Source organism: Homo sapiens, chromosome 13 (assembly GCF_000001405.40).
Source record: "Homo sapiens chromosome 13, GRCh38.p14 Primary Assembly".
NCBI lineage: Eukaryota > Metazoa > Chordata > Mammalia > Primates > Hominidae > Homo > Homo sapiens.
The window spans coordinates 99,593,397-99,611,198 of record NC_000013.11 but is presented as its reverse complement, the minus strand read 5'-3'; the positions used below and the strand labels follow the sequence as shown (position 1 = coordinate 99,611,198).

At 45.0% G+C, this 17,802-nt stretch overlaps 1 protein-coding gene and 1 long non-coding RNA gene across 11 annotated transcripts in view, besides 4 other annotated features; one reads left to right on the top strand and one right to left on the bottom strand.

Annotated features, from left to right (window-relative positions):
• CLYBL (citramalyl-CoA lyase) overlaps positions 1 to 4,509 on the bottom strand; it is a 302,755-nt gene extending 298,246 nt beyond the window's left edge. For all 10 annotated transcript variants that reach the window (NR_104592.2, NM_001393361.1, NM_001393360.1 and 7 more), the window contains exon 1: positions 4,442 to 4,509. Coding sequence is in view for 9 of the 10 variants with exons in the window: in NM_001393361.1 (NP_001380290.1) it covers positions 4,442 to 4,503 (62 nt within the window). In the remaining variant the exon portion in view is untranslated. The remainder of the gene's footprint in view (positions 1 to 4,441) is intronic.
• Positions 4,169 to 4,728: a silencer, noted in NCBI's record as "silent region_5473". NCBI's record gives its function as "represses an Ori minimal core promoter by ATAC-STARR-seq in GM12878 lymphoblastoid cells {active_cell/tissue: GM12878}" and the evidence as "EXISTENCE:reporter gene assay evidence [ECO:0000049][PMID:35858748]".
• Positions 4,169 to 5,646: a biological region, named in NCBI's record as "Sharpr-MPRA regulatory region 5963".
• Positions 4,450 to 4,744: an enhancer, noted in NCBI's record as "tiled region #5963; HepG2 Activating DNase unmatched - State 1:Tss, and K562 Activating non-DNase unmatched - State 1:Tss". NCBI's record gives its function as "activates a minimal TATA promoter and a strong SV40 promoter by Sharpr-MPRA in HepG2 and K562 cells {active_cell/tissue: HepG2 | K562}" and the evidence as "EXISTENCE:reporter gene assay evidence [ECO:0000049][PMID:27701403]".
• Positions 4,667 to 5,646: an enhancer, noted in NCBI's record as "H3K27ac-H3K4me1 hESC enhancer chr13:100257807-100258786 (GRCh37/hg19 assembly coordinates)". NCBI's record gives its function as "activates a minimal SCP1, AML or CMV promoter by ChIP-STARR-seq in naive H9 embryonic stem cells {active_cell/tissue: H9 hESC(naive)}" and the evidence as "EXISTENCE:reporter gene assay evidence [ECO:0000049][PMID:30033119]".
• On the top strand, positions 5,350 to 16,691 carry LOC105370332 (uncharacterized). The gene is made up of 3 exons (XR_931674.3): positions 5,350 to 5,437; positions 7,848 to 7,953; positions 16,626 to 16,691. It is a non-coding gene; the product is annotated as an uncharacterized LOC105370332 (long non-coding RNA).
• Positions 16,692 to 17,802: the final 1,111 nt, after the last annotated feature.

Here is a 17,802-nt window from a genome sequence, read left to right as displayed (position 1 = left end):
TTTATTCAAGAAAAATGTATGAATCTCAGTAAGAACAGCAATTGTCGTGGGGGTTTAGTTTACCCTATCCCTCTTCCCCAGCTCTGTGGTAGACTTGAAAATCAATAGCCCCCATCACAGTGAAAACCAGCAGCATGGCAGCCACTAGAGGGGGAAAGCCCCATTTCTGGAAAATGTCACTATTTGACCTGTCTTGTGGTTCCTTGGAAGACCCTACTTGTAAAACTGTCTTTAATTGACCTGACTCAGAGCTTGCACAGTGGGAACAGTATTTTCCCGGAGGGCATTTGTCCAAACAATCAGAAGTACTTATTTACCATCACAGCTACTTGAGATGGAAGATAACAGGGTAAACAACAGGCTAACCAAAACACTTAAAAGGCAAAAATGGAGAACAAGATACCCATAGAGAGCTCTGAAAAGTTGTGACATGTTCCTGAGACTCTAGGAGGCCACGCACATGTGCAGGGCTGTATACCGGCTAAGGAAAGACCTTAAGTGCTCATGTCTAGCTAACCTTCAGTCTCTGTGGAAGCAGGACAAACTGTGGCTGAATGTTGAAGACATGTCCTGACACACACAGAGTCCCTCAGCAAAGACTAGGAGACTTACTGGTTCCAGGAATTTAAGGAAACCTTTGTCTAATTGTTAGACTACTAAGCTAACCAAGCAGAGACCTCGCTGGTTGCACATGACAAAGAATACAATGCAGAATTAGTTTATTAAAGTCACTAAGCAAACAACAACAACAATAAACCCTGGCAAAAGGGAGAAATCTGATTTCCAGAGTTGCCCCATTATATTACTTAAAATGTCCAGTTTTCAAAAAAATATACAAGACATGCAACGAAAAGAAAGTATGACCTATACACACAGGAAAAAAGTAGTCAGTACAAACTGTCCCTGAGGAAGTCCAGATGTTGGACTTACTAATTAAATCATCTATTTAAAGTATGTTCAAAAAACGAAAGGAAACTATGCATAAAGAACTGAAGGAGTCCAGGTGCAGTCGTTCATGCCTAGAATTCCACTGCTTTGGAGGCCAAGGCAAGAAAATCATTTGAACCCAGCAGTTCAAGACCACCCTTGGCAACACTGCAAGACTCTGTCTCTTCAAAAAATTTAAAAATTAGCTGGGCATAGTGGTGTGTGCCTGTAGTCCCAGCTACTGGGGAGGCTGAGGCAGGAGGATCACTTGAGCCCAGGAGCTGCAGGCTGCAGTGAGCTACGATCTCACCACTGCACTCCAGCCTGGAGACTCCGTCTCTAAGAGAAAGAAAGAAAAAAAGAACTAAAGGAAAGTATGAGAACGATGTTTCAGTACATAGAGAATATCAATGAAGAGATAGAAAGTATAGAAAAGGGCCGGGCATGATGGCTCATGCCTGTAATCCCAATACTATGAGCGACAGAGGCAGGCAGATTGCTTGAGCCAAGTTCGAGACCAGCCTGAGCAACATGGCGAAACCTGATTTCTACAAAAGAATAGAAACAATTAGCCAGGTGCAGTGGTGCACACCTGTAGTCCCAGCTATTTGGGAGGCTGAGGTGGGAGGACAGCTTGAGCCCAGGAGGCAGAGGTTGTAGTGAGCCCAGATTGCACCACTGCACTCCAGCCTGGGTGACAGAGTGAGACTCATTCTCCAAAAAGAAAGAAGTTCTGGATTAAAATGAAAATGATTTGAGTTGGAAGACGGAGCAATCAGCAAACCTAAAAACAGGTCGGCTGGGCACGGTGGCTCACACCTGTAATCCCAGCACTTTGGGAGGCCAAGGCAGGTGGATCACGAGGTCAGAAGATCGAGACCATCCTGGCCAACATGGTGAAACCCCGTCTCTACTAAAAATACAAAAATTAGCTGGACGTGGTGGCGCGTGCCTGTAATCCCAACTACTCGGGAAGCTGGAGCAGGAGAATCGCTTGAACCCGGGAGTCAGAGGTTGCAGTGGGCAGAAATTGCGCCACTGAACTCCAGCCTGGTGACAGAGCAAGACTCTGTCTCAAAAAAAAAAAAAAAAAAAAAAAAAACAAAGACAGGTCAATTGACATTGTCCAGCCTGAGGAACAGAAAGAAAATGGAACAGTCTCAAAGACCTGTGGGGTTCCATCAACTACACCAACATATACGCAATGGGAGCCTCCGAAAGAGAAGAGAGAGATAAGAGAGTAGACTTTTTTGAGAGAACAATAGCCAAAAACTTCCCAAATTTGATGTATACACATCCAAGAAACTCAATAAACTTCCAAGAGGATAAACTCAAACAGATCTACACACATCATAATAAAACCACCGAAAGACCAAGACAAAGAGAAAATCAAGCAAAAAAAAAAAAAAAAAAAAAAAAAAAAAGACTCATCACTTACATAGAACCCTAATAACATTAACGTCTGAATTCTCATTAGAATAATGGAGGCAAAAAGACAGTGCGATAATACGCTTTAAAATGCTCAAAGGAAAAAAAATGCCAATCAAGAATCCTATATTCAGCGGGTAGACATGTCGAGAACAGACCAGTGTGCTAAGGCGGGTGAGGAGCACTGAGTTAACCCCCAGCGTACTGGCGTGGGGACTGTGTGCGCTCACTGGACCCGCTACTGAACAGGTCACAGACGCTGGCCCCCTCAAAAGGCGCCAGAAAAGGACCCTTCTGGACCAGCCTGGATACACTGCCTGAGCTGCTCCTCTAGGGCGAGGGGTGACTCCCCTGTGCCAGGGGCAGCGGAGGAAATGGGAAAGTGGGATGCATAAGACTAGGTGGGTCCTCCCATAGGACATGGGTGACTGAAGAGTCACAGTGCAAGAAGACGTAAGAAGTTCAGACCCAGGCCGGGCACGGTGGCTCACGCCTTTAATCCCAACACTTTGGGAGGCCGAGGCAGGTGGATCACCCGAGGTCAGGAGCTCCAGACCAGCCTGGCCAACATGGTGAAACCTCGTCTCTATTAAAAATACAAAAATTAGCCGGGCATGGTGGCGGACGCCCTGTAATCCCAACTACTCCGGAGGCTGCGGCAGGAGAATCACTTGAATCCGGGAGGCGGAGGTTGCAGTCAGCTGAGATGGCGCCATTGCACTCCAGCCTGGGCGACAAAAGCGAAACTCCATCTCGGAAAAAAAAAAAAAAAAAAAAAAAAAGAAGTTCCAGACCACCAGGCCGGCCATGGTGGCTCACGCCTGTAATCCCAGCACTTTGGGAGGCTGATCCGGGTGGACCCCCTTGAGGTCAGGAGTTCGAGAACAGCCTGGCCAACATGGCGAAACTCTGTCTCTACTAAAAATACAAAAATTAGCCAGGGGTGGTGGTGCACACCTGTAATGCCAGCCACTCAGGAGGCTGAGGCATGAGAATCGCTTGAACCCAGGAGGTGGAGGTTGCAGTAAGCCGAGATTACACCACTGTACTACAGCCTAGGTGACAGACCGAGACTCTGTCTCAAAAAATAAAAATAAATAAATAAAGAAGTTCCAGACCAGGAGCCATACACTTAGTGTTTGAACCAAACTCTCTCATTACTGGTCATAGGGCTTTGAGAATCCTTAACCTTTCTGACCCTGTTTTTTCATCTTTATAAACATGACACCCAACTTCTTCACATGGTGGTCAAGGGAACCAAATGAGACCATGTATGTGCACGTACCTAGGCGATGGGCAAGTGCTAGACCAGCGGTTCTCAAAGTGTGGTCCAAAGACACCTGAGGGGGTCCCTGAGACCCGTTGAGAGGGTCTGCTTGGTCCTCCCTTTCCCAACTAATATCTGCATCTGCATGAGCCCAGAATTTCTTTCAAATATTTCCTTCAAAACAGCTGATATGAGACTCCAGCTGTCCTTTATTAAACCAAAGAAATTTTCAAAAATATAAAAACCATGAGCCAATCTTCTCACTTTTTTTTTGAGAAGTTATGCATTAAAGTGTTATTTGTATTAAAAGTTAATGGGTTTGTTATTAAGTGAATATTTTTTAAATTTCTGGTTTAATTCCTCATGCACAAAAATCAATAGATATAAGCAAAAGCTTTGGGGGGTCCTCAAATTATTTTTAGACGTGTAAACGGGTCCTGAGACCAAACCGTTTGGGAACCGCTGTGTTAAACGAACCGCAGGTGTTCTTCACCAGGCAAGCCGCCTCTCAAAGACTGGCGCGTTCACGTTTGCCATTTGGGGGAGGCAGGCAGTTTTGTTTCCTGGGGCTGAGTCCAGGTAATTCGACCTAAGGTGTGTACCCATTTTCCGGGTGCAACGAGGGCCCTCCCAAAGGGAGGCGCGGGCGGCAGCGACCTTGGACGAGGTCGAGCCAGCGCGTGGGAGGCGCATGGTGCTTCCGTCCGGCTGGGTTCCCGTGAGGGCTTGGGGAGGCCGCGCCCGGCCCGCGGGGCTGCAACAGGAGCCGACCCGCGGCGAGCCGGGCCGGGAAGGCGGGGAACGGGGACCTGCACTCACAGCCTCAGCAGCGCCGCCGCCGCAGCTCCGCGCGCCGCCCTCCGCAGCAGACGTAGCGCCATCTTCCCGACGCGCGCGCCCCGCCCTTTGCCTTTAGCCACGCCCACCCCACATTCCACGCCCCCACGGCGACACCGACCCCCCCCCCGTCCCAGGCCCCGCCTCGCTCTGTCTTCGCCCCGCCCCGTCCCGCCAGCCACACCCCGCCAGCCACGCCCTCCTTCCTCCCAGCACCCGCTCCGCCCCGCGGCGAGTCCCGAGGTCAACTGCCCTCCCGGCCAGGGCTTAGGACCTTCGTCCCCGCTGTCATGGGGGACAGAGCAGAGGATCTGAATGGTTGGGGCCTCTTTGAGGGGCCTCTCTGGTGACCGAATCCAACTCTCTGAGCTTCTGAGTTTTTGAGGCAACTGTTGACAGACTGCGTTTTCCCAGCCAGAAGAGCCAACATTTCTAGGGATTTCTTCGCAGCTTTTGTTGTTAAAATACCGCCTAATACTTTGTGAGCCCCATCATGTGCATATCTTGGTTAGCAATTAATCTAGAGTGGTCAAAGTGCAGGAAGGCTGCATCCTGGAACACACATGCCTGCAATAGGTCAGAGCAGCTGTTGGCACTCTCTGGGCAGGGAAACTGACAGCAGCTCTTTACTCTGCCCCCTGCAGCCGTTCTGCAGCGGTGAGAACGCCGAGGCGTTAAAACAGGCTGGGCCCTGCCCCTGCCTCTTCTTTCACCTTCCCTGATCCAGCCGGCCTCCACCTGCCGACCTTCACCTACCCGGGCCCATGTTACCCCTTAACCATGTCTTTTCCTTGGCACTCGGCATGTTTCTTTTTCAGCTGTGACTCCGTTCCATTCATGCTCTAGACTTAAACCTGAAACCGTTTCTCAGAACCTTCCAGTGGAAGCTGACTTGTGCTCTTGGATGCAAAAAGTGGCCGTTTAAACAAACAAAAGCCTTTTCAGCCAGAGGGGGTTCCAAGATTTGGAAAAGTCCAGGTGACTGGGAACATGGATGCTAAACTTCTGCTGAGCCTAAGAATTATTGTTATATTCGATACCAACAGGGGAGACTGCTCAACCCCTTGGTGCCCTCCCCCAGCTCCCACGCCTGCTCCACCTCAGGCCTCGCCTGTCTACTCCAATTTGGTCACTTTCTTGTCACCACCTTAGTCCCAGCCAGTGCCCGGTCCAGCCATACTGAAGCCTGAGGCAAAGGCAATTTCAGTAACACCAATCCTGTCTTTAATTAAAATTTTGATATTTTGTTCATAATGGGATTTTTCCATTATCTTGGTTTTTAGTTTAGAATATTACTTTTTTTTTTTTTTTGAGACAGTCTTGCTCTGTCGCCCAGGCTGTAGTGCAGTGGCACGATCTCAGCTCACACACTGTAACCTCCACCTCCTAGGCTTGAGTGATTCTCACCCCTCAGCCTCCTGAGTAGCTGGGACTACAGGCAAGTGCCACCACTTCCAACTAATTGTTTTGTATTTTTAGTAGAGATAGGGTTTCACCATGTTGGCTAGGCTGGTCTCGAACTCGTGGCCTCAAGTGATCCATCCGCGTCAGCCTCCCAAAGTGCTGGGCTTACAGGCATGAGCCACCATGCCAGGCCAATATTACTTATCTTTTTTTTTTTTTTTTTTTCTGAGATGGAGTCTCGCTCTGTCGCCCAGGCTGGAGTGCAGTAATTACTGAGACTTCTCCTTAAATTTTGCATCCCAGGCTGGGGCTGCACTCACCTCACTCAAGTCTGATTCTGGACATCATCATCCTTTACCTGGATTATTTCAAAGCCTCCTTGCTCCCATTCTTCCCTCCTACAATCACCCGTTTGCCATAAAACCTGGCTGACCTTTTAAAAGCATGACGCAGCTCCTAGTTCCAGAGTTGACTTGCTGTGTGACTTTGGTCAAGTTTCTTAAGCTCTCTGTTTCCTCATCTATAAAATGGGGGTATAAATACCTCATCACCTCATAGGCTTGTTATAATGATAGACTGAGTTTACATATACATAGAGAGAGACTGCACACTTAAAATCTAAGCAAGTTCTCAGTAGTGTTAACTATTCCTCATTATTATTGTCATTGCATCGCTTCCCTTCTTAAAACCCTTTAGTGGCTTTAGAATAAAATCCGAGTTCTTCCCCATGACCCTTAAAGCCTCACACGGTCTGGCCCCTGCCAGCCTCTCCAATTTATCTCCAGCCCCACTCATCTTCTGTCTGTGTTTTCTAAGTCCACGAGGCTCTCTCCCACCGTGGGGCCTTCACACATGCCGTTCCTCATCCCCAGAATGCTCATGGCTACACCTGCTCATCCTCCAGGACCTTCAGCCTACGTGCCACCTCCTCACAGGGGCCTGTGCTAATAACCTAAAGATCCCCAACGGCGCCCCCACATCTATTTCACTGTCACAGTGCCTGGTCATCTCCACCACAATGTCGATATATGAGTTTGTGAATTTATTAGGTTCATGCCAAAGTAATTGCGGTTTTTGCCATTCAAAGTAATGGCAAGAACAATTTCATCTTATATGTATTGAATACCTGCCAGGTAGGATTCACTGAGCCAGGTGCTGGGAGCACAGCAGTGACAAGACATACAAGGTCCCTGCTCTCAAAAAACTTACAGAATTGAAAATAATGGCAAAACCCACAATTACTTTTGCACCGACCTAATACTTCTTTATTGTGCCTTTCCCCAGCAGTTCTCAGAGGGTGGGGTGGGATGGGATGACTAACCATCTATCAGGTGGGCTTTGGGATGCAGTATTGTTGTTTAGGGGGCAGGGCTAGTGATGTGCTGGGTAGCCACCTTGGGAGAAAGGCTCTTGGTGTCTTGACTTAGAAACACCTTCTGTAGGATGAGAGCATAACTTCTTTGAGAGCAGGGACCTTATATGTCTTGTCGCTGCTGTGCCCCCAGCACCTGGCTCAGTGATTTATACCCGGCAGGTATTCAATACATATAAGATGGTGGCTCACGCCTATAATCCCAGCACATTTGGAGGCCGAGGCGGGCGGATCACCTGAGGTCAGGAGTTCGAGACCAGCCTGGCCAACATGGTAAAGCCCTGTCTCTATTAAAAATACAAAAATTAGCCGGGTATGGTGGTGTGCGCCTGTAGTCCCAGCTACTCGGGAGGCTGAGACAGGAGAATTGCTTGAACCTGGGAGGTGGAGGTTGCAGTGAGCTGAGATCATGCCACTGCACTCCAGCCTGGGTGACAGAGCAAGACTCCATCTCAAACAAAACAAAACAAAACAAAATGTATATATGATGAAAATGTTCTACCAGCCTCATTACAGTTGAAAACTGCTGTATAACTAGTTATCCTTATTTAAAATGCCTTGGATCTAAAGTAGGTCCTACTATGTCTTATTTGCTAATTGGTTCAATTTCAGATTCTCCTAGAAGAAATTGTAGCTGTGCCCATTCTCACCAGCAATGGTAGGGGGTTGTTGAGTTTCTTCACAAGATTACTGACTCATGCATTTTGCTAATCAGTAGGTAGGTTAACAACTAACTGTTTCCTAATGCTAGTACATGTTAAAATAAAGTTTTATTAACTTTATCTACATAGTATGTGGGTGTCTGGAGGACACGTGTATTAGTCCGTTTTCACATTGCTATAAAGAACTGACCGAAGCTGGGTAATTTATAAAGGAAAGAGCTTTAATTGACTCACAGTTCAGCATAGCTGGGGAAGCCACAGGAAACTTATAATCATGACGGAACGTGAAGGGGAAACAAGGCACCTTCTTCTCAAGATGGCAGGAAGGAGAATGAACACAGAAGGAACTACCAAACTCACGAGTGAGTTCTCCAATCTCCGATCTCGAGAACAGCATGGGGGAAACTGCCCCCGTGACTCAGTGACCTCCACCTGGTCTCTCCCTTGACACGTGGGGATTTGGAGGATTTCAATTCAAGATGAGATTTTGGATGGGGACACAGCCAAACCATATCAACATATTTCCAAATATAATAGAGAAAGGGATTCAGAGTTCCTCCTTTAGGACAGTCAAGTCTATCTTTACTCACAGCTTCCAAAACTGAAAAGAAAAGTATCAATTTTCCAAGTGCATCAAGAGAGCATATGAAATTTAGTAGGGTGAATAATTCCGAGATTCACTATCCTGTTGAGTTGAGCAGTCTGGAAGAATAGGCACTTGGCAGAGACATGGGAAAGAAGGATGGGGCGGGAGCATACTAGGGATAGGGAGCAGCCCCTTATGCTCTAGAGGTTTGATGTTTCTAGCCTACCCATTCTAGGTTTATGGGCGAGGCCCCTGAAATAAAATACAAACTAACAAAAGAAAAACATACGAATGTATTTAATGTGAATTTTACATGACATGGAAGCCTTCATATGAAAAGGAAGACCCAAAGAAAAAGTGAAACGTATATTTTTTCATGCTTAGGTTTAATGAAGAGTGGACAGTTGTGGAGAAATATGATTGGAGGGCAAAAGAATCTGATCTAATGGTGATAACCTGGAAGGAACTTAGCAAGGCCTGTTTGCTCAGGCTCTTCTCTGTGTCTTCACAGACAAGGGTGTTCCTTTCCTTCACCTAAAGGCGGGGAAGGCACTTATCCAATGAGAATCTTATAACCGCCAGGCGCTGTGGCTCACGCCTGTAATCCCAGCACTTTGGGAGGCCGAGGCAAGTGGATCACCTGAGATCAGGAGTTCAAGACCAGCCTGGCCAACATGGCAAAACCCCCTCTCTACTAAAAATACAAAAAAATTAGCTGGGCATGGTAGTGCACCCCTGTAATTCCAGCTACTCAGGAGGCTGAGCCAGGAGAATCGCTTGAACCCAGGAGGCAGAGGTTGCAGTGAGCTGAGATCGTGCCACTGCACTCCAGCTTGGGTAACGGAGCAAGACTCCGTCTTTAAAAAAAAAAAAAAAAAAAAAGTCTTATAATCTGCTTCAAGGAAGAAGGGGAGGAGAAAAGTCAGACAGACCTTCCTGCTTCTGCTGTTTTTCAAATGCCAAGGTGCCATATTTTGAGGAAGTGTGTCTTGAACCCTGTCAACCACAATAAAAGAAAGTTTTTAAAAAAGTTTTGTAGAGATGGAGTTTCACTCTGTCACTGAGGCTGGAGTACAGTGGCATGATCATAGCTCACTGCAGCCTTGAGGTTCTAGCGATCCTCCTGCCTTGAGCCTCCTGAAGAGTTGGAATTACAGGCACGAGCCACTGAGCCTGGCCAAACAACTTTTCAAAGAAGTCATCTGTGTAGTGAGAGAAGTAGACGGATAAATGGGGAAAGGATGGGTTCTGTGGTCCATGGGTGTATGGGGGAACGGGTACAGAACTGCTGCAATTCCTTCTGCGTGAGGGGGCAGGGAACTGGGGGGCTTTGCAGAGCAGGGAATGGAGACCTGAAATGTGGTGGAGACTGAATCAGTGAAAGTCTTCAGAGGAAGAGTAGAGCAGGCAGAGAGAACACAGCAGGGATCCGAGGGATTGTCTGGGGCCAGACTGTAAATGACCTGAATGCTCAAATCTTAGCCAATGTGGCTCTCAACAAATACCGGTCCCCTGAAGAAATGAGTTACATTTTCACCACGTGGTTTTGTAACTGTGATGATCTTGTAATTGTAATTGTGATGGTGAGTGAGTAAATAACTCTCACTTAGAAATATTTGGATTTTGTATTGGCTCATTTTTTGGCAAATAGGCACACCAAGGAGATACTGGACGAAAATATCTAATCAACCTATGGTTTATCATAACATGTAAATAACTTTCACGTTTCAAGGAGCAGGAACGATTAGGAAAATGAAGCTGAATTCTTCTTTCGTGATCAACACCAAAGGCTCTTTATCAGAAGCCGGTTTTTCCTTCCTTTTGGTGTCTGGCCGATACAGGTTATTTTCACCAAAGTTGAGTCTCAAAGGCTGAGTGGGACCGGTGTCACTGATTTAAGACATCAGAATACTGCACTTAGAAAGAGGCATATTAGAAGTTCTGTGGAATGATTTTTAAACAGTGGCACAGATAGAACTCCACTCTGAGATCATCCATCCCTCCTGCTGCTATGATACAAAACCCTCCCAGCCTCACCTCCTGGCAGAGTCGCCTTTGATAACACTGATGACTCTGTCTGGCCTCCTTGGGGAGAGAGGAGGGGACTGTCTCTCAAATTTAGGCCAAATACAGAATAACTAACGACCACCTTGTGGCCTTCCGGGCCGTAGCTTCCTCTCTCTAAACTAAGGGAGTTCATATACATGACCTCTAAATCCTTTTCTGATCTCAGCCCCCAAAGCTGTGCTGTAGCTCCCCCTAATGTCAGCAGGCGGATGGTTACCCCCACACGCTTCAGGCCTCTCCGGAGCCCCCTTCCCTGATCCCCATTCCCTGATCCCCCCTTCATTTTTTCATAGCACATCTGCTTCTAATTACTGAAGAATGTACTTAATATATGATGTCTCTGTTGAACATAAGACTTTTGGGGGAAGGGGTTTGGCCTGTTTTGTTCACCAATATATCCCGAGCACCTGAAACTGTGCCTGGTGCCTGGCACCTGGGTGGAGACCTAAAACATATCTGTTGAATTCAAAGTGTTGAATCTTGAGGCATCTTCTGCCAAATTTATTTTTTTCATAACTTCCCCTGTTGCTTTTCACTTACTTTGTAGGTTGGTCATTATCTTGTTCCCCAGTGCTGATTATTAATCCCTGTTGTTTTGTAGGTTGGTTGTTCTCTTGTCCCACACTGCTGATTCTTAATTCCCTGGTGTGGTCGACTGAGTGATGGCCCCATAAAAATGTCCACATCCTAATCCCCGGCACCTGTGACTATGTTACTCTGCGTCATGAAGTTAAGGATGTTATGAAGTTAAGGATCTTGAGATGGGGACATTATCCTGGATTATCTGGGTAGGCCCAATGTAATCGTAGGTTCTTCATATTGATAAAGAGATAGAAATTATAGAAAAGGGCTGGGTGCAGTGGCTCACACCTATAATCCCAGCATTTTGGGATGCCGAGGTGGGCAGATTGCTTGAGCCCAGGAGTTCAAGACCAGCCTGGGCAACATGGCAGAACCCTGTCTCTATTTTAAATTATAAAAATTTAAAAAAAATTCAAAGACTGCTTTTAAGGCCATTTGTAAGTCCAAAGTGACACTCTATGATTTAAATGACCACAAATCCCTCTGTTGATGTCTGGTAGAACCAACAGGCTTTTGCTTTGACCAGAGCTTTCTTGAGTACAAGAGTTTCTAAAGACAGTAGCTTCAGTAATTTTTCAAGATGGACTTGGAATCCCTTATCTGTATGCTGTTTTAAAAGGGTTCTCCATTAAAGACTTAAATGTAAAACCCCAAACCATAAAAACCCTGGAAGACAACCTACGCAATACCATTCTGGACATAGGAACAGGCAAAGATTTCATGGGGAAGACACCAAAAGCATTTGCAACAAAAGCAAAAATTGACAAATGGGATTTAATTAAACTAAAGAGCTTCTGCATAGCAAGGGAAACTATTAACGGAGTGAAAGGACAACCTATAGATGGGAGAAAAATTTTGCAAACTATGCATTGACAAAGGCCTAATATCCAGTATCTATAAGAAAATTAAACAAATCTACAAGAAACAAACTAACAACCCCATTAAAAAGTGGGCTTAGGACATGAACAGACACTTTTCAAAAGACATTCATGCAGCCAACAACCATATGAAAAAAAGCTCAGCATCACTGATTATTAGAGAAATGCAAAACAAAACCACAATGAGATATCATCTCATACTAGTCAGAATGGCTATTATTGGCTGGGCGCGGTGGCTCATGCCTGTAATCCTAGCACTTTGGAAGGCCGAGATGGGTGGATCACTTGAAGTCAGGAGTTCCAGACCAGCCTGGCCAACGTGGTGAAACCCCGTCTCTACTAAAAATACAAAAATTAGCTGGGTGTGGTGGTGAGCACCTGTAATCCCACCTACTAGGGAGGCTGAGGCAGGAGAATCACTTGAACCTGGGAGGCAGAGGTTTCAGTGAGCTGAGATAGTGCCACTGCATTCCAGACTGGGTGACAGAGCAAGACCCTATCCCCACCAAAAAAAAAAAAAAAAGGCTATCATTAAAAAGTCAAAAACAGCAGATGCTGGTGAGGTTGAGGAGAAAATGGAATGCTTATATGCTATTGGTGGGAATGTAAATTAGTTCAGCCATTGTAGATGACAGTGTGGTGATTCCTCAAAGACCTAAAAACAGAAATACCATTCAACCCAGCAATCCCATTACTGGGTATATACCCAAAGGAATATAAATCATTCTATCATAAAGACACATGCATGTGTATGTTCATTGCAGCACTATTCACAATACCAAAGATATGGAATCAGCCTAAATGCCCATCAATGGTAGACTGGATAGCAAAAATGTGGTACATATACACCATGGAATATTATGTAGCCATAGAAGATAATGAGATTGGCTGGGCATGGTGGCTCATGCCTGTAATCCCAGCACTTTGGGAGGCCGAGGCAGGTGGATCACCTGAGGTCAGGAGTTCAAGACCAGCATGGCTAACATGGTGAAACCCCATCTCTACTAAAAATACAAAACATTAGCTGGGTGTGGTGGCGGGTGCCTGTAATCTCAGCTACTTAGGAGGCTGAGGCAGGAGAGTCACTTGAACCCAGGAGGCAGAGGTTGCAGTGAGCCGAGATCACGCCATTGCACTCCAGTTTGGGCAACAAGAGCGAAACTCCGTCTAAAAAAAAAAAAATGACTGAGATCATGTCCTTTGCAGGAAGATGGATGGAGCTGAAGGCCATTATCCTTAACAAACTAACACAGAAACAGAAAACCAAACACCGCATTTTCTCACTTATAAGTGGGCACTAAATGATGAGAACTCATGGGCACACAGAGGGGAACAGCAGATGCTGGGGCCTACTTGAGGGTGGAGGGTGGCAGGAGGGAGAGGATCAGGAAAAATAACGTGTACTAGGCCTAATACCTGGGTGAGGAAATAACCTGTTCAGAAAACTCCCATGACACAAGTTTACCTATATAACAAACCTGCACATGTACCCCTAAACCTAAAATAAATGTTAAATAATTTTTTAAAAAACTTTATAAAAATAAAAGGGCTCTCTGCTCTGAATTGTTTAAGTAGGGATGCAGAGCATTATCACTGCCTGAAATTATACTATTAATACATATTTATGTTTATTGCTTGCCATTACTGTCATTTCATTTGCTTATGATCTGTTACTTCCATGAGGGTGGGAACTGACTTTACTTTGTTTGCTACTGTATTTCAGTGCCTGAATAGATGCCTGAGACTCAGTAGGTACTAAATAAGTATATGTTGAATGAATGACTGAGAAGTTGACTAGTGATAAAAATGCAAGAAATTATGCAGCAACACTTTGGGCTACCTCTCAGAAGAAATAAATGATTGCAATCCATATGCAGTTTTAAATGACGAGAGTAGAAAAGCAAAAGCAAGCCATCTTGGTTTGTTAGTTGTGAGTGTCAAGAGGCAATTGATGAAAAGGATACCTGTTGACATGTGAAGGATGAACTGAAAAAATAAATAAAAGAAAAATAAATTAAAAGGAGACATGTAAGCATGGGGGGTGGGCAGAGGAGTTCTATCCAGCTTTAGAAATTGGCCCTTGGCTGTCTCTTTGCAATTCAAGTATTGGGGAAATAAAAGAGGACGTGGGGCCATTATAAAAATCTATTAAGAATCTTGGGTTTTGGTCAGGCATAGTGGCTCATGCCTGTAATCCCAGCACTTTGGGAGGCTGAGGTGGGAGGATCATGAGGTCAGGAGATCGAGACCATCCTGGCTAACAGAGTGAAACCCCGTCTCTACTAAAAATACAAAAAAATTAGCCAGACGTGGTGGCGGGCGCCTGTAGTCCCAGCTACTCGGGAGGCTGAGGCAGGAGAATAACGTGAACCTGGTAGGCAGAGCTTGCAGTGAGCCAAGATTGCACCACTGCACTCCAGCCTGGGCGACAGAGTGAGACTCCATCTAAAACAAAAACAAAAACAAAAAAAACCAGAATCTTGGTTTTTGCCTTACGAGTCAGTGGGAGAGGCCCCTGTCTTGGCCACTGTGTTAGTCCGTTTTCACACTGCTACAAAGATGCTACCTGAGACTGGGTAGTTTATAAACAAAAGAGGTTTAATTGACTGACAGTTCTACATGGCTGGGAAGGCCTCAGGAAACTTACAACCATGGCAGAAGGTGAAGGGGAAGCAGGCATCTTCTTCACAAGGTGGCAGGAGAGAGAGAGAACACAAGGGAAAGTGCCACTTTTAAAACCATTAGATCTCGTGAGAACTCCCTCACTATCACGAGAATAACATGGGGGAAACCACGAGGTTTCCCACCAGGTTCCTCCCTTGACACGTGGGGATTACAGTTTGGGATGAGATTTGGGTAGGGACAAAGGGCCAAACCACATCAGCCACTACTAGGTAGCCCTTTGAAAAAGAAATAATCATAACATAGGAAAGAATTTATGTACAAGGTGATTCACGGCATCATTTTTTATAGCAAAATATTGAAAAAATAAAAATGTCCATCAATAGGGGATCAATGTTTACAAATACGGTACACAACACAACAGAAAAGTATTCAACTATAAAAAGAATAAAAAGGGTTCACTGCACATAGTAATACAGAAAGATCGCCAAGATATATCATTAGGTAAAAAAGACAAGGCACGGAACAATCATATTATGTTCCATCTTCTGTGTGAAGGAAGGAGGATACAATAAAAATGTATTTCATGGTTTTTTGTTTTGTTTTGTTTTGTTTTTTTGAGATGGAGTTACGCTCTTGTTGCCCAGGCTAGAGTGCAATGGCATGATCTTGGCTCACTGCAACCTCCGCCTCCTGGGTTCAAACAATTATCCTGCCTCAGTCTCCCGAGTAGCTGGGATTACAGGCGGCCACCACCACGCCCAGCTAATTTTTTTGTAATTTTAGTAGTGACGGGGTTTCACCAAATTGGCCAGGCTGGTCTTGAACTCCTGAGCTCAGGTGATCCACCCACCTCAGCCTCCCAAAGTGCTGGGATTACAGGCGTGAGCCACCGCTCCCAGCCTGTTTTATTTTTTTATAACGGTAAACATACATAACAAAATTGACCATTGTAAGCATTTTAGATGTATAGTTCTATGACATTAAGTACATTCACATTGTTGGGCCACCGACATCATCATCATCCATCTCAAGAACTTTTTCATCATCTCAGACTGAAACTCTGTCCCCATTAAACATGAACTCCCCATCCCACTCCCCGCAGGCCCTGGAAACCCCCATTCCACTTTCTGTCTCTGTGAATTTGACTGCTCTAGGAACCTAATGTAACTGGGCTATATTTGTTCTTTTGTAACTGGTTTACTTTACTTAGCATAATGTCTTCAAGGCTCACTCATATTTGCCTGTATTTATCTTTTTTTTTTTTTAAACTCTGAAAGGATACAATAGTGCTGATGACAGGGATTACCTGTCAGGGAAGTAGGAATAAAGCAAGAGAAGAAAGGGATGGGAAGAAGATTTTTTAAATATCCTTTTTTGTCATTTAAAACTTTTTTAGCCACTTCATATATTACTTATTCAAAATGCCAGATTTTGAACACCATGAACAATAAAGTGAAAGGAAGAAAAAGAAAACTTCAGTCTTTGCTCAGTGAAGGTGTGGGTCATTAGCTGGACCTGACCCAGAGCCCCTGGGGCATCTTTGTGGCCACTGAGTTTTTATGTTGGTTCCATATCCCACACTGGATTAAAAACTCCCCAAGTCCAGCCTGTGTTTTGCACAGGGTGGGGGGCCCAGTGACTTGCACAGTTGACAGAGAGCTGGCAGCCTCTGCAGAGGTGATGCTTGGTAAGACGCGTAATGTTGAACCATATAAAGAAGGCTGTTTGGCTAAGACCCTCTGGGTTATGTGGAATTATCTTTAATGCACCAGACAAGAAGATTGTTAACCAGCCTTATTACCAACAATTTCTTATGACCATGGTAGGGCAGGCAGATGATTTGAGGATTATCGGGACGCTGACAAATCCCCTGGGCCCTGACAATCTCATTTAGAAAAGAATCAAATCTGTTTATTGCTGATAATAGATGGCATGCCCCCAGGTTTGCTTGTAAGTAATATGTGCATTGCTTTTTATTTTTTTCTTTTAGCAACAGGAGCCAAACTTGGATTCACCCTGATAAAGCAGACATTTGGGACTTCATGTGATCTAATTGCTCTGAGCTGTTCCTTAATCCCCAATCGCTAAACCTTTGCATCGTTGCCCACAATGGCATAAACTACCTTGATCCAGGATTGCAAAATGGTCCACCCAACAAAGAAGCCTCATAATTGTTGATGTGGCTGAGATTCTCTAATGCACCCTCCCTTGTTTTTATTTGTTGTTCTAAGAATTATTTAAGTAAAAGAACAAAGCAAATCTTAAACTTGTCTCTGTGATAAGGTGAACCTCGGAAGGCGAAGTCCATTTCTTCATTCATCTCTGCATTCACAGCAACAGGTACAGTGGCTCATATATAATAAGTTCTTGAAAATGTTTGTGGGATTGCCTCATTCATAAACTATCATAATTGCTCCAGTGAAATGTTCTCAGATATATGAATTTTGGTAGACAACATTTGGAAAACCAAATAGAGATTAATTTTAATTAGATCTTTAATTCTCTTGGATTTATACGAAATAAAATGCCAGCCAGGCATGGTGGCATGCATCTGTATTCCCAGCTACTTGGGAGGCTGAGGTGGGAGAATCACTTGAGCCCAGGAACTCAAGTCCAGCCTGGGCAACATAGCGAGACCTCATCTCTTAAAAACGAAAGAAAGAAAGCAAGAAAAAAGCTATATGACAAAATCTAAACCTATGCATATTGCTAGTATTTCTTACTTTTTTTTGAGACAGCGTCTCATTGTTGCCCAGACTAGAGTGCAGTGGTGAGACCATAGCTCACTGCAGCTTTGAACTCCTTGGCTCAAGCAATCCTCCCATCTTAGCCTCTTGCGTATCTGGGACTACAGACACATGCCACTGCACCTGGCTAAATTTTGTTAGTTTGGAGAGATCAGGGTCTCACTATGTTGCCCAGGCTGGTCTTCAACTCCTGGCCTCAAATGATCCTCCCACCTTGGCCTCCCAAAATGCTGGGATTTATAATATTGCTGGTATTTAATCTTATCCAAAATATCGCAATGAATTTTTCAAAGTATCTGCACAAGAAAAAACTTCTAAGCATATAAGTTAACATCTCCTTTAGCAGGATTTGCCTGAAGCTTGAAGGTCTTTTGACTGCTTCCATAGGTAAGTTGCAGATGAAATCTGTTACACAAACTC